At 41.6% G+C, this 13,962-nt stretch overlaps 1 long non-coding RNA gene and 1 pseudogene across 2 annotated transcripts, besides 1 other annotated feature; both read left to right on the forward strand.

Annotated features, from left to right (window-relative positions):
- Positions 21-972: an enhancer, noted in NCBI's record as "NANOG-H3K27ac-H3K4me1 hESC enhancer chr3:101422701-101423652 (GRCh37/hg19 assembly coordinates)". NCBI's record gives its function as "activates a minimal SCP1, AML or CMV promoter by ChIP-STARR-seq in naive H9 embryonic stem cells {active_cell/tissue: H9 hESC(naive)}" and the evidence as "EXISTENCE:reporter gene assay evidence [ECO:0000049][PMID:30033119]".
- Positions 3,485-5,638, forward strand: LOC124909402 (uncharacterized). Its single transcript, XR_007095987.1, has 2 exons — positions 3,485-5,283; positions 5,366-5,638. It is a non-coding gene; the product is annotated as an uncharacterized LOC124909402 (long non-coding RNA).
- Positions 5,639-8,597: 2,959 nt separating this feature from the next.
- PDCL3P4 (PDCL3 pseudogene 4) lies at positions 8,598-9,580 on the forward strand (annotated as a pseudogene). The gene has a single exon (NR_002941.2). The product of NR_002941.2 is annotated as a PDCL3 pseudogene 4 (transcript).
- The last annotated feature ends 4,382 nt before the right edge of the window (positions 9,581-13,962 follow it).

Here is a 13,962-nt window from a genome sequence, read left to right on the forward strand (position 1 = left end):
GGGGTGGGTTGCCCCTCCACACCTGTGGGTGTTTCTCGTTAGGTGGAATGAGAGACTTGGAAAAGAAAAAGACACAGAGACAAAGTATAGAGAAAGAAATAAGGGAACCCAGGGAACCAGCGTTCAGCATATGGAGGATCCCGCCAGCTTCTGAGTTCCCTTAGTATTTATTGATCATTCGTGGGTGTTTCTCCGAGAGGGGGATGTGTCAGGGTCACAAGACAATAGTGGGGAGAGGGTCAGCAGACAAACACGTGAACAAAGGTCTTTGCATCACAGACAAGGTAAAGAATCAAGTGCTGTGCTTTTTGATACGCATACACATAAACATCTCAATGCTTTACAAAGCAGTATTGCTGCCCGCGTGTCCCACCTCCAGCCCTAAGGCGGTTTTTCCCTATCTCAGTAGATGGAACGTACAATCGGGTTTTATACCGAGACATTCCATTGCCCAGGGACGGGCAGGAGACAGATGCCTTCCTCTTGTCTCAACTGCAAGAGGCATGCCTTCCTCTTACACTAATCCTCCTCAGCACAGACCCTTTACGGGTGTCGGGCTGGGGGACGGTCAGGTCTTTCCCTTCCCATGAGGCCATATTTCAGACTATCACATGGGGAGAAACCTTGGACAATACCTGGCTTTCCTAGGCAGAGGTCCCTGCGGCCTTCCGCAGTTTTTGTGTCCCTGGGTACTTGAGATTAGGGAGTGGTGATGACTCTTAAGGAGCATGCTGCCTTCAAGCATTTGTTTAACAAAGCACATCTTGCACAACCCTTAATCCATTTAACCCTGAGTTTGACACAGCACCTGTCTCAGAGAGCACGGGGTTGGGGGTAAGGTCATAGATTAACAGAATCTCAAGGCAGAAGAATTTTTCTTAGTACAGAACAAAATGGAGTCTCCTATGTCTACTTCTTTCTACACAGACACAGTAACAATCTGATCTCTCTTGCTTTTCCCCACACTGTCCCTCTGGAGAACCCTGACTAATACTGTGTGTAAGTCATTTATGAAAAATGATTCATGGGTAGGGTAGCTTATTCCTGTAATCCCAGTGCTTTGGGAGGCTGAGGTGGGAGAACTGCTTGAAGCCAGGGGTTCAAGACCAGCCTGGGCAACATGGTGAGACCCATCTCTACAAAAAATTTTAAAAATTCGTTGGGCATGGTGGTACACTCATGTAGTCCTAGGCATTTGGGAGGCTGAGGTGGGAGGATTGCTTGAGCCCAAGAACTGCAGGCTGCACAGGAGCTATGATCATACACTCTAGCCTAGACAACAGAATGAGACCTTGTCTCTAAAAATAAATAAATAAAGGGCTAGGCATGGTGGCTCACGCCTGTAATCCTAGCACTTTGGGAGGCCAAGGCGGGCGGATCACTTGAGGTCAGGAGTTTGAGACCAGCCTGGCCAACAGGGTGAAACCTCGTCTCTACTAAAAATACAAAAATTAGCTGGGCATGGTGGCACATGCCTGTAATCCCAGCTACTTGGGAGGCTAAGGCAGGAGAATTGCTTGAACCAGTGGGCAGAGGTTGCAGTGAGCTGAGATCGCACCATTGCACTCTAGCCTGGGCAACAAGAGTGAAACTCTGTCTCAAAAAAAAAAAGGAAAGAAAAGAAAAGAAAGATGGTGGCCAGAAGTGGGTAATGGTTGAAGCTGGATATTAGGTACCAGGGTTCATCAAAATAGTCTCTATATTATTATATACTTTTAAATTACTTTTCCATGATGAAAAGTTTCAAACAATTATTATGTATCTTGGGATTAATTTATGTCCCACAATTCAGTCCTGAAAAATAAAGTAAGCACCAATTGTATTACTTTGTAATTAAAAAAATACTTTGCGGGAAAAAAATCCCCATACTTTATACAGGAATGCTTATAGCAGCTGTATTCATAATAGACAAATACAGGGAACAGCTTAGGTGCCCATCAGTAGGTGAATATATAGGCAAACTATAATACATATCAATGTACTACTACTTAACAATAAAGTAGAATGAACTGTTGATTTACACAACATGGATGAGTCTCAGACATTATATTAATTGAAAGACTTACATTGAAAGTACATACCATATGATTCCATATATATCAAGTTCTACATCATGCAAGATAACCTATGGTGGGGGGAAAAAGTCAGAACACTGGTTGCCTCTATATGGGAGGGGAAGGACTAACCGGAAAAGGGTAGGAGGGAACTTTCCATGTGAATAATAATTTTCTATATCCTTTTTTTTTTTTGAGAAGGAGTTTCGCTCTTGTTGCCCAAGCTGGAGTGCAGTGGTGCAGTCTTGACCCACTGCAAACTCTGCCTCCCAGTTTCAAGCAATTCTCCCGCCTCAGCCTCCCAAGTTGCTGGGATAACAGGCGCCCGCCACCATGCCCAGTTAATTTTTGTATTTTTAGTAGAGATTGAGTTTCACCATGTTGGCCAGGCTGGTCTCAAACTCCTAGCCTCACGTGATCCAACAGCCTTGGCCTCTCGAAGTGCTGGGATTACAGGTATGAGCCACTGGGCCCAGCCAGTTTTCTATATCTTGATGAGTTTTGGTTTAATAATACAGTTTGTCAAACTCAGGGGATGCTAATTTAAGATTTGAAAATTTCAGTGTATATAAATTTTACTTCAGCAGAAAGGAAACTAAATAAATATTGAACACTAGTTAATGAAATACATGCTGAAGTATTTAGGGAGAGATGTACTTGTCCACTAAAAACATCGTGGGCCCAGTGTGGTGCCTCACACTTCTAATCCCAGCAGTTTGGGAGGCTGAGGTGGGCGGATGGCTTGAGTCCAGGAGCTGGAGACCAGCCTGAGGAACATGATGAAACCTTATGTCTACAAAAAATACAAAAATTAGCCAGGTGTGGTAGTGTATACCTATAGTCCCAGCTACTTGGGAGGCTGAGGTGGGAGGATGGCTTGAGCCCAGAGGAGGAGGTTGCAGTGAGCCAAGATTGCAAGATCGTGCCACTGCACTCCAGCCTGGGTGACAGAGCCAGACCCTGTGTCAAAAAAAAAGCAAACAAACAAACAAAAAAAAACCCCATAATAGACTGATGGATGGATAGAGGGATACAAAAATTAGCTGAGTGTGGGCCGGGCGCGGTGGCTCATGCCTGTAATCCCAGCACTTTGGGAGGCCGAGGCAGGCGGATCACGAGGTCAGGAGATCGAGACCATCCTGGCTAACACAGTGACACCCCCATCTCTACTAAAAATATAAAAAATTAGCCAGGCGTGGTGGCGGGTGCCTGTAGTCCCGGCTACTCTGGAGGCTGAGGCAGGAGAATGGCGTGAACCCGGGAGATGGAGCTTGCGGAGCCGAGATTGCGCCACTGCACTCCAGCCTGGGCAACAGAGCGAGACTCCGTCTCAAAAAAAAAAAAAAAAAAAAAATTAGCTGGGTGTGATGGTGTGCTCCCTGTAGTCCTAGCTACTTAGGAGCCTGATTTGGGAGGATCACTTGAGCCCAGGAGGCAGAAGTTGCAGTGAGCCTTAATCACGCCACTGCACTCCAGCCTAGGTGATAGAGCCAGACCCTGTCTCCCCGATCGCCCCACAAAATAGAATCAAAGTGTAGGTAAATGAATGTTCATTGCACAATTATTTGAATTTTTATGTACGTTTGAAATTTTTCCTATTATTTAGGGAAAATAAAGGGAGACATCTTCTGGAAGAAATTGGTATTACTGATTGGCTCAGAAAGGCAAGCGCAAGAAAACTTTTTTTTTTTTTTTTGGTTTTTGTTGTTTTGAGACAGCGTCTCCCTCTGTTGCCCAGGCTGGAGTGCGGTGGAGAGATCACAGGACACTGCAGCCTCAAATTCTTGGGCTCAAGTGATCCTCCCACCTCAGCCTCTCAAGTAGCTGGGACTACAGGCATGTGCCTGGCTAATTATTTTTATTTTTTGTAGAGGTGAGGGTTTAGCTTTGTTGCTCAGGCTGGTTTCGAACTCCTGGCTTCAAGCGATCCTCCCACCTCAGCCTCCCAGTGTTGGGATTACAGATGTGAGCTACTGTGCCTGGCCAAAATATGGTTTAAAAATATGATTTGGTATGGAATGATTGCTTATTTTTTACATACCCCATTGGTTCTTTCTCCTGTGCCCAAGCTGAAAATCTTCCTTCTCTTCCACTAACTTCTTACTTAGATTTTACTTTCTGAATAAGAATCAGTAAACTTTTTCTGTAAATGGCCAGAGGGTAAATATTTTAGGTTCTATGGGCTAAGGGGCAAAATTGAAGATTTTATGTAGATACTTGTAGAAAAACAGGGAAAACTAATTTCCACAACATTTTCACTGATGAAATTCAAAATATAATAATATCGAGTACAAATTTTTGTAAATCAGGTATGCTAATCAGAAGAATGAAATTCTTTTTGTGGGGAGATGGAGAATAACATTTTTCTTAATTAGGTTTCAAAGTTCTTATTCCCTATCAAAATCTATTGCAAATGTTCATCTGTCAATCATGATCTGTAATGAAATTTTACAGATTTTATCTTTGAAAAATATATTTTCACACATGTAGGCACTGCCCAATATGATGTCAATCCAAGGGCATATGATTTAAATTAAGTATATTATGCTCTTGGAAAACAATTACAGAAACATATTATTCTCTTCATATCTGCCTTTTAGCATGTCAGATGAATCATTTCTAACTGATGGTTAGGTGGAAGCTCTTCAGTTGCACAGTTAAATGGATTTTGAAATATGGAAATTTCCTTTGTGTTTGCAGAGATCCGTAAAACACCACTAAAACTGTAGTTTGAGCTTGAAAAATATAACCACTGCAAACTTGTGTGAGGATAGAGAGCTTGCTTTTTGTTTTAACTTGTGACTCAAATAATGTTAGTTGTCAAAATGACTTCATCACAGTAAGTTTTGCATGTCAGTACTGTTTTGCTTTGTAATTTATGTTGACTTTATTAGGATGCATCATCAAATGATCAAAATTAGCAAACTAGCAAAAATGAATTTCAAAGTCATTCAGTCAGTGATGTAAAATAAATAAAATCCTGAGCCCTCTGCCAACTGCATGAACGTACCCTCATGGCCAAGGTGACCCCAGAAAAACCTTTAAAACAGAGTTCCTGATCATAACAGGACAGGAGGGCAGACATGCCTCATTAAACTCCCTCCCTTTTGAAGTTTAGACACAACAACCGACCAGCATTGATGTTAAAGAAGAGATATCAAGACTGACAGAAAGGACTTTTTGTGGCAAAAAGGTATCAAAAGATAAACAAGACCCAAGGCCATGCCAGGTAAGGGTTAAGTCATATACCCCTACACTTAAAGAATAAACTGTGTTCTAACTGCCCCAGGGTTTTCCTTTTTCTCTAACAGCTAAACCATCACTGGCCTACAGATAAGCAATATTAAAACAACTGTAGCTCACCATCAGACACTGAATAACTGATCCCCGTTCCACCAGCTTTGATTGGATAAGAGACTGATTTCAGTAACTTTCTCCTGATAAGAAGACCGCCAACCATGGACTGATTCTGGCAGGCTTTCAGAGGCTGCACACTTGCATGACTTCGTGTCTTGAAAAGAGCTTTTGACATATAGGACCTAATTATAATACATTTAAGTATTAAATATCCACTCCAAAGTGAACATCGGTAATATGTTACATGCATGTTTGTTCAATACCTATGTGTCAGGATCACCTTTATGAATATTCAGAGTTTCTCCAGTAACCTGTTGAATGTGTACGTTTAACCAAACTGTTCAGCATAAAGCTCCTACCCCAACCACTCCTCCTTTGAAGTGCCCGTCTCTAGTCTTTCTGGAGGCTATCCTTCTCAGCCTATGGGATGGACACCTTGCAGGCTGTAAACCTTTTTTTTTTTTGAGACGGAGTTTTGTTCTTGTCGCCCGGGCTGCAGTGCAATGGCACAATCTCAGCTCACTGCAACCTCCTCTTCCCAGTTTCAAGCGATTCTCCTGCCTCAGCCTCCTGAGTAGCTGGGATTACAGGCACCCGCCACCATGCCTGGCTAATTTTTTTTTTTTTTTTTGTATTTTTAGTAGAGAAGGGATTTCACCATGTTGGCCAGGCTGGTCTCAAACTCCTGACCTCAGGTGATCCGCCCGCTTTGGCCTCCCAAAGTGCTGTGATTACAGGCATAAGCCATCACACCTGGCTGGCTGTAAGCCTTTATAAAACATAAAATCTTCTTTCTAAATTTATAGGTCTCATGATTTGTAAAGGTAACAGTGGTTAAGAGAAATTCTTTTCATTTAGAAAAATTTCAATCTTGGCTCTCAAAAAACATCACAATAAAATGTTATCACTGCTAAGTCATCAAATGCTATGTGGCAGGGCAAGGTAGGATATTCTGCCATTTTGACCAAAAATTCATGGACTAACAACAGTTAAGTCCATGAGGATGAATGAATTGTATCATTGATACTGCAGATTCAATAATATCTGTACATGGTAAGTTCAAATGTTTTCCACAAACTGTTTTTTAATAATCAAATGATGTCATAACCATAGGATTTAAACACCTTATATTTTCATAAGCATTGTAAATCTGTCAAACTAAGCCTTTCTCTTTTTATATCATCAGTTGCAATATAGCAAAGCGATTCTACTTCAGGTGTACTTAATTAGTGTTTTTTCACCTTCGTTAAAAATATTCTCAGCTGTTTCATGCAGCTGTTTTGGAGCTAATTCTTCAGTCCATTCAATCATTGACTCCTTGAATATATAGGAACAAATGAGCAACATCAATAACACCTGTCAATTCAGTACAAGCTAAGGAAAACCATTCAAAATCACTTGCCTTGCTTTTTTTTTCTAATCAAAAAAAAATTTTTTTTTTCTAATCAAAAAAAATTTTTTTTTTAGAAATGGGATCTCCTGTGTTGCCTAGGCTGGATTTGAACTCCTGGGCTGACTCAGTTCCCTGAGTAGCTAGGACTACAGGCATAGGCCACCTCATGTGGCTAACTTGCCTTGTTTTACTATTGATGTTTGTGTCCTGTGTCCTTAACACTTTAAGCAGCTGTTCTCACCTAAAGGCTAATAGTTTTAAGTAAGTTTCTTTTTCTTTTTTTAATTTAAAAATTAAAAAATTTTTAATTAACTTTTTTTAAATTAAAAAAAATTATTAATTATTTTTAATAGACAGGATCTTGCTATGCTGTCCAGGCTGGTCTTGAACTCCTGGTCTCAAGTGATCCTCCTGCCTTGGCCTCCCAAAGCGCTGGTATTACAGGTGTGAGTCACTGCACCTGGCCAAGTTTATTTTTTCTGTATACATTTCTTCAGCCACTTCAATCAAACATTTAATTAACATGCTATAATGAATGACTTTTCTTACTAGGCTAACAAATGAGGCACTTGGAAACTTACTTTAGTTACAGCCTCACTTTCTTTTTTTGTGAGGAAATTCTGTGTTGACATACTCTTTAATTTCTTTTTACCTTTTCTGACTGATTTTCTGTAATTTGGGAATATTGTGATGACTGCTTATTCTAATAATATTAACATATAGCATTCTTTTAGCACATAAATAGTTTCATTTGCATAGTAAGCGCCAGGCTTTGCCATCGAATTTGATAAAATAATCCATGCTTCATGGTACCTTAGAGATGGGATATTTTAAGTCCAATTCTCTCTCTCTCTCTCTCATTTTTTTCTTTTTAGAGACAAGGCCTGGAGTTACCCATGCTGGAGTGCAGTGGTGTGACTGTAGCTCCCTGCAGCCTCGAACTCCTTGGCCTCAATTGATCCTGCCACCTTACCTTCTGAGTAACTGGGACTACAGTGTGTGTCACCACACCTTTTTTTTTTTTGACATGAGGGATATATGCTGGTAATAAAAATAAAATTTTGGGGTATGGCAATAGGCATGCTACTCAAAATGCTGCCAAGTTACAAAGTGTAACTATGATTTGTAATGGATAGCAGCAGTGACAAGTGATGAGAATGGTCTCTTGTCATGACTACTCTGTTATAGTGTAAAAGCAGCCATAGACAGTAGATAAATGAATAAGTATGGCTGTATTCCAATAAAGTTTTACTCATGGACACTGAAATATGAATTTCATATAATTTTGTGTCACAAAATATTAAATTTTTTTTCTAGCCATTAAAAATGTACAAAGCATAATTAGCTGTGGACTGTACAAAAGCAGGAAGCAGGTTGGACATGGCTTTTGGGCCATAGTTGGCCAACCCCTGCTAGAGAACATCTATACATAGCAGCCTTTTGAGTAGTTTTGTTCATCTGAGGTCATGAAAAGGAATTAGTATTGGCAGGGTGCGGTGGCTCACGCCTGTAATCCCAGCACTTTGGGAGGCAAAGGCGGGCAGATCACCTGAGGTCAGGAGTTTGAGACCAGCCTGACCAACATGGTGAAACCCCGTCTCTACAAAAAATTAGCCGGGTGTGGTGGCGCATGTCTGTAATCCCAGCTACTGGGGAGGCTGAGGCAGGAGAATAGCTTGAACCCAGGAGGTGGAGGTTGCAGTGAGCCGAGATTGTGCATTGCACTCCAGCCTGAGCAACAGGAGCGAAACTCTGTCTCAAAAAAACAAAAAACAAAAAAACAAAAAAACAAGGTGGCACAGCTGGCTTGAGCAACTGAACTGGAAACAAGATGCAGGACCCCAACGCAGACACTGAGTGGAATGACATCTTAACGCAAAAAGGGTATCTTACCCCCCAAGGAAAGTCTGAAAGAATTGGAAGAGGAGGCAGAAGAGGAGCAGCGCATCCTCCAGCAGTCAGTGGTGAAAACATATGAAGATATGACTTTGGAAGAGCTGGAGGATCATGAAGACGAGTTTAATGAGGAGGATGAATGTGCTATTGAAATGTGCAGACAGCAGAGACTGGCTGAGTGGAAAGCAACTAAACTGAAGAATAAATTTTGAGAAGTTTTGGAGATCTCAGGGAAGGATTATGTTCAAGAAGTTACCAAAGCTGGTGAGGGCTTGTGGGTCATCTTGCACCTTTACAAACAAGGAATTCCCCTCTGTGCCCTGATAAATCAGAACCTCAGTGGACTTGCCAGGAAGTTTCCTGATGTCAAATTTATCAAAGCCATTTCAACAACCTGCATACCCAATTATCCTGATAGGAATCTGCCCCGATATTTGTTTACCTGGAAGGAGATATCAAGGCTCAGTTTATTGGTCCTCTGGTGTTTGGTGGCATGAACCTGACAAGAGATGAGTTGGAATGGAAACTGTCTGAATCTGGAGCAATTATGATGGACCTGGAGGAAAACCCTAAGAAGCCGATTGAAGATGTATTGCTGTCATCAGTGTGGCACTCTGTCCTCATGAGGAGGGACAGCGATTCTGAGGGTGACTGAGGCTACAGCTGCTATCACATGCCGAACTTTCTTGTGACAAATGTCTGGATTTTTTAAAAAAGGAAAAAGCAAGAATGAATCCTTCTGGTTTTTAGTTTTGTATAAATTATGTTTCAAATCTTTACATTTTGGAAATAATCATTGCTGGAAATTCTGTTAAATATTTTGGAACTTTTTTTTAAATTATAGTATTTCCTCTAAAAAAATTAAAACCAGCCATTAGTAAAAAAAAAAAAGAAAAGGAATTAGTATTTTAAAAGAGATTATTCATATTCCTTCTGTGCTGTAGGTTTTGTATTGTAGTTAAATACAAAACTCAGTGATTTCAAAGTTTTAAAAGTCCAATTTCTAAAGATAAAAACACATTTGCATTTCTCAGCATACTCAGCATACCAATATACATTACATATTTCTGTGTTTGATATTATCTTCTCTTCACTGGAAAGGTAAAATTTTTTTTGTTTTGTTTTGATACGGAGTCTTGCTCTGTTGCCCAGGCTAGAGTGCAGTTGCGCGATCTCGACTCACTGCAACCTCCGCCTCCCAGGTTCAAGTGATTCTCCTGCCTCAGCCTCCTGAGTAGTGGGATTACAGGCATGTGCCACCACATCCGGCTGATTTTTATATTTTTTAGTAGAGACAGGGTTTCAGCACGTTGGCCAGGCTTGTCTTGAACTCCTGACCTCAGGTGATCCACCCACCTTGGCCTCCCAAAGTGCTGGGATTACAGGCATGAGCCACTGCGCCCAGCCAGAATTGGCTAACATTATTATGGAGGTTGGCAAATTCAAAAACTTCAGGGCGGACCAGCAGGCTAGATAGAGACCCAGACAAGAGCCAATGCTGTGATTCAAATCTGAAAGCCTGTCTGTTGCAGAATTCCTTTTGGCTCAAGAGAGGTCAGTCTTCTACTCAGTTCAACTGATTGGTTGAGGCACACCCACATTATCGCAAGACCACCTTCACAGAGACATTCAGAATAACATTTGACCTCATATATGGGCACCGTGGCCCTGCCACGTTCACCCATAAATTTACAATCATACCTCCTCATTAAAAAAACAAAGGGCTGGGCTAGTGGTGGCTCACACCTGTAATCCCAGTACTTTGGGAGGCCAAGGTGGGTGGATCACCTAAGATTGGGAGTTCGAAACCAGCCTGACCAACATGGAGAAACCACATCTCTACTAAAAGTACAAAATTAGCCAGGCGTGGTGGTGCATGCCTGTAATCCCAGCTACTCGGGAGGCTGGGGCAGGATAATCGCTTGAACCCAGGAGGCAGAGGTTGCGGTGAGCGAGATCACACCGTTACACTCCAGCCTGGCAACAGGGCAACAAGAGCAAAACTCCGTCTCAAAAAAAAAAAAAAAGAAAAAGAAAAAAAATCGCCCAAGCGTGATAGCTCACACCTATAATCCCAGCACTTTAGGAAACTGAGGCAGGAGGATTGCTTGAGGCCAGGAGTTCAAGACCAGCCTGGGCAACATAGTGAGACCCTGTTTCTATAAAAATAATAAAAAATGAAAACAATTTTAATTAAAAAAAGGAGTCAAGTCAAAGGTGGGAGGAAAGAGCAAAACTACCACTCTTAAAATGTTCCGAAGCTTCTAAGCGCTAGAAATCTTCCAGGTAGAAATTAAAGTTAGAATTTAAAAAATATATTGTTCTGTAAAAAATAAAGAACTTATTCACTTAATTTTCTTTTTTGGTTTTCTTTTCTGTTTTTTTGAGACGGAGATTCGTTCTGTCGCCCAGGCTGGAGTGCAATGGCGAAATCTCGGCTCACTCCCCTCCCACACCCTGTGCCGGGTTCAAGCGATTCTCCTGTCTCAGCCTCCCAAATAGCTGTGATTTTATTTTATTTTATTGAGGGAGGGTCTTGCTCTGTTGCCCAGGCTGGAGTGCAGTGGCCCGATCTCAGCTCACTGCAGCCTCAACTTCTGGGCTTAAGCAATCCTCCCACCTGCCTCATGAGTGGCTGGGGCTACAGGCACACACCACCATGCCCAGCTAGTTTTTGTATTTTTACTACAGATGGAGTTTTGCCATGTTGCCCGGGCTTGCATTCTTATTTTTAAGTAAGTCTTTGAAATCCAGTGTGTATTTTACACTTATAGCACATCTCATTTAGGACTAGCCACATTTCCAATGCTCAGTAGCCAAAAGTGGATATTAGCTACCATATTAGACAATGCATCTCTAAGGGGTGAGATTATCGAAACTTTCACTTTGTATTTTACATATTATTTTGTTTTCCTGAATGTTAAAAAAACCATATATTGCTCATACAGTCAGAAACCATAATAAAATAAAAAGTCAATTGCTCTGAAGTCAGAAAGAATTATGCTTTTGAGTAGGTGTTATACAATAGTAAAAACCAAACAGTAGAAAAGGTTATATACTGACAGTTTTATGTGTGTTCTCTGTGCACTTGTCTAGAAGATGGGCCACAATTTTTGTAGATTATGGTCTTTCAGAAGTGGTCAGTAAACCAAAAAGAAATTTAAAACCAAAGTCAAAGAATTTCAACAACAAAATTCCACAGAATTTAGACAGAGGGTTAATTACTTTGCCATGTTATAATGAGGTTCTATCCAGGCTTCTTGTCAGGAATTAGTGCTAGACAAATAGGAAGCTCTTTGAGGGAGAGAAAAACAACACAGGTTGGGGGACCAGTGAATAATTGCTTCCACTACCCCTCTAGAGGTAAACTACCAACCTATCATCCCTGAAACCAATGAGATTTCAGGAGGATGGACAACATTTTTTAAATTTTGAGACAGGATCTCACTCCGTCACCAAGGCTGAACTGCAATGGCATGATCACAGCTCATTGCAGCCTCAAACTCTGGCCTGAGCAATCCTCCCACCACAGCCTCCCCAGTAGCTGGGCCCACAGGCTTGTGCCACCATACTCGGCTAATTCATTTTAATTTTTGCAGAGACAGGATCTCTCTATATTGCCCAGGCTGGTCTTGAATTCCTGGGCTTAAGCGATCCCCTGCCTCGGCCTCCCAAAGTGCTAGAATTATAGGCATGGGCCACCGCATCCTGCCTAGTCAGAACATGCTTAAAGCAGGAATCTTAAATAGAATGCAATGTCAGCTGGGCACGGTGGCTCACGCCTGTAATGCTAGCACCTTGGGAGGCCGAGGCGAGCAGATCACTTGAGGCTAGGAATTGGAGACCAGCCTGGCCAACATGGTGAAGCCCCATTTCTACTGAAAATACAAAAAAAAAAAAAAATGGCTGGGAGTGGTGGCTCACACCTGTAGTCCCAGCTACTTTGGAGGCTGAAAGGAGGATCGCTTGAGCCTGGGAAGCGGAGGTTGCAGTGAGCCGAGATTGCGCCACTGCACTCCAGCCTGGGCGACAGAGGGAGACTGTCTCAAAAAAAAAAAAAAGAAAAAAGAATGCAATGTCAGGGCTAGAAAAAATGAAGAATTAACCAACTCAAGATGAGATTCTAAAATATTCATTTTATTTTCCCCCCTGTGTATCAGCTAAATATGAGGAAAAAAAGAGGTGGAAGTATAAATTAATTTCAAGAATATTTTTCAGGTTATTTAGGTAAACTAAATAAATAATAAAGTAAATAAACCAGAAGAAGTTGTGTTTTGTTTAAAAGAGTAGTAAAGAAATCCTTGACGTTTCTATTTCATCTCTTTTGAAGTTTTTCTGAAAGGCAGTAGAACTTTTATAAAAATGATTCATTATATTCTCAATTGAAAATTTAGGGGCTGGGGGCAGTGACTCATGCCTGTTATCCCAGCACTTTGGGAGGCTAAGGCGGGCGGATAACTTGAGGTCAGGAGTTAGAGACCAGCCTGGCCAACATGTTGAAACCCCATCTCTACTAAAAATACAAAAATTAGCTGGGTGTGGTGGCGCACAGCCTGTAATCCCAGCTACTCGGGAGGCTGAGGCAAGAGAATGGCTTGAACCTGGGGGGTGGGGACAGAGGCTGCAGTGAGCCGAGATTGCGCCATTGTACTCTAGCCTGGACAACAAGAGTGAAACTCCATCACAAAAAAAAAAAAAAAAAAAAATTAAAAGAATGCAAAATATCTCATTATTTTTTATGTTGTTTATATGTTGAAATGCTAATATGAATAAATAAAATATATTTTGTCTTTTTAAAATATGGCTATTAGCTAACTTAAAATTTCATATGAGGTACACCTATTTCTCTTGGACAGTGCCACCTTAGCAACAATTTAAAAATCAGTAAGTACCTTTTGCCGGGCGCGGTGGCTCATGCCTGTAATCCCAGCACTTTGGGAGGCCGAGGCGGGAGGATCACCTGAGGTTGGGAGTTCAAGACCAGCCTGACCAACGTGGTGAAAGCCCATCTCTACTGAAAATACAAAATTAGTCGGGCGTATTGTCGTATGCCTGTAATCCCAGCTACTCGCGAGGCGGAGGCAGGAGAATCGTTTGAACCTGGGAGGCAGAGGTTGTGGTGAGCCAAGATCACGCCATTGCACCCCAGCCTGGGCAACAAGACCAAAACTCTGTCTCAACGACAACAACAACAAAAAATCAGTACCTTTTATTGAGTATTTACCACATGTTAGGCACTATTTGGATTTCTAACATGATTTA

Source organism: Homo sapiens, chromosome 3, assembly GCF_000001405.40.
Source record: "Homo sapiens chromosome 3, GRCh38.p14 Primary Assembly".
Taxonomy (NCBI): domain Eukaryota; kingdom Metazoa; phylum Chordata; class Mammalia; order Primates; family Hominidae; genus Homo; species Homo sapiens.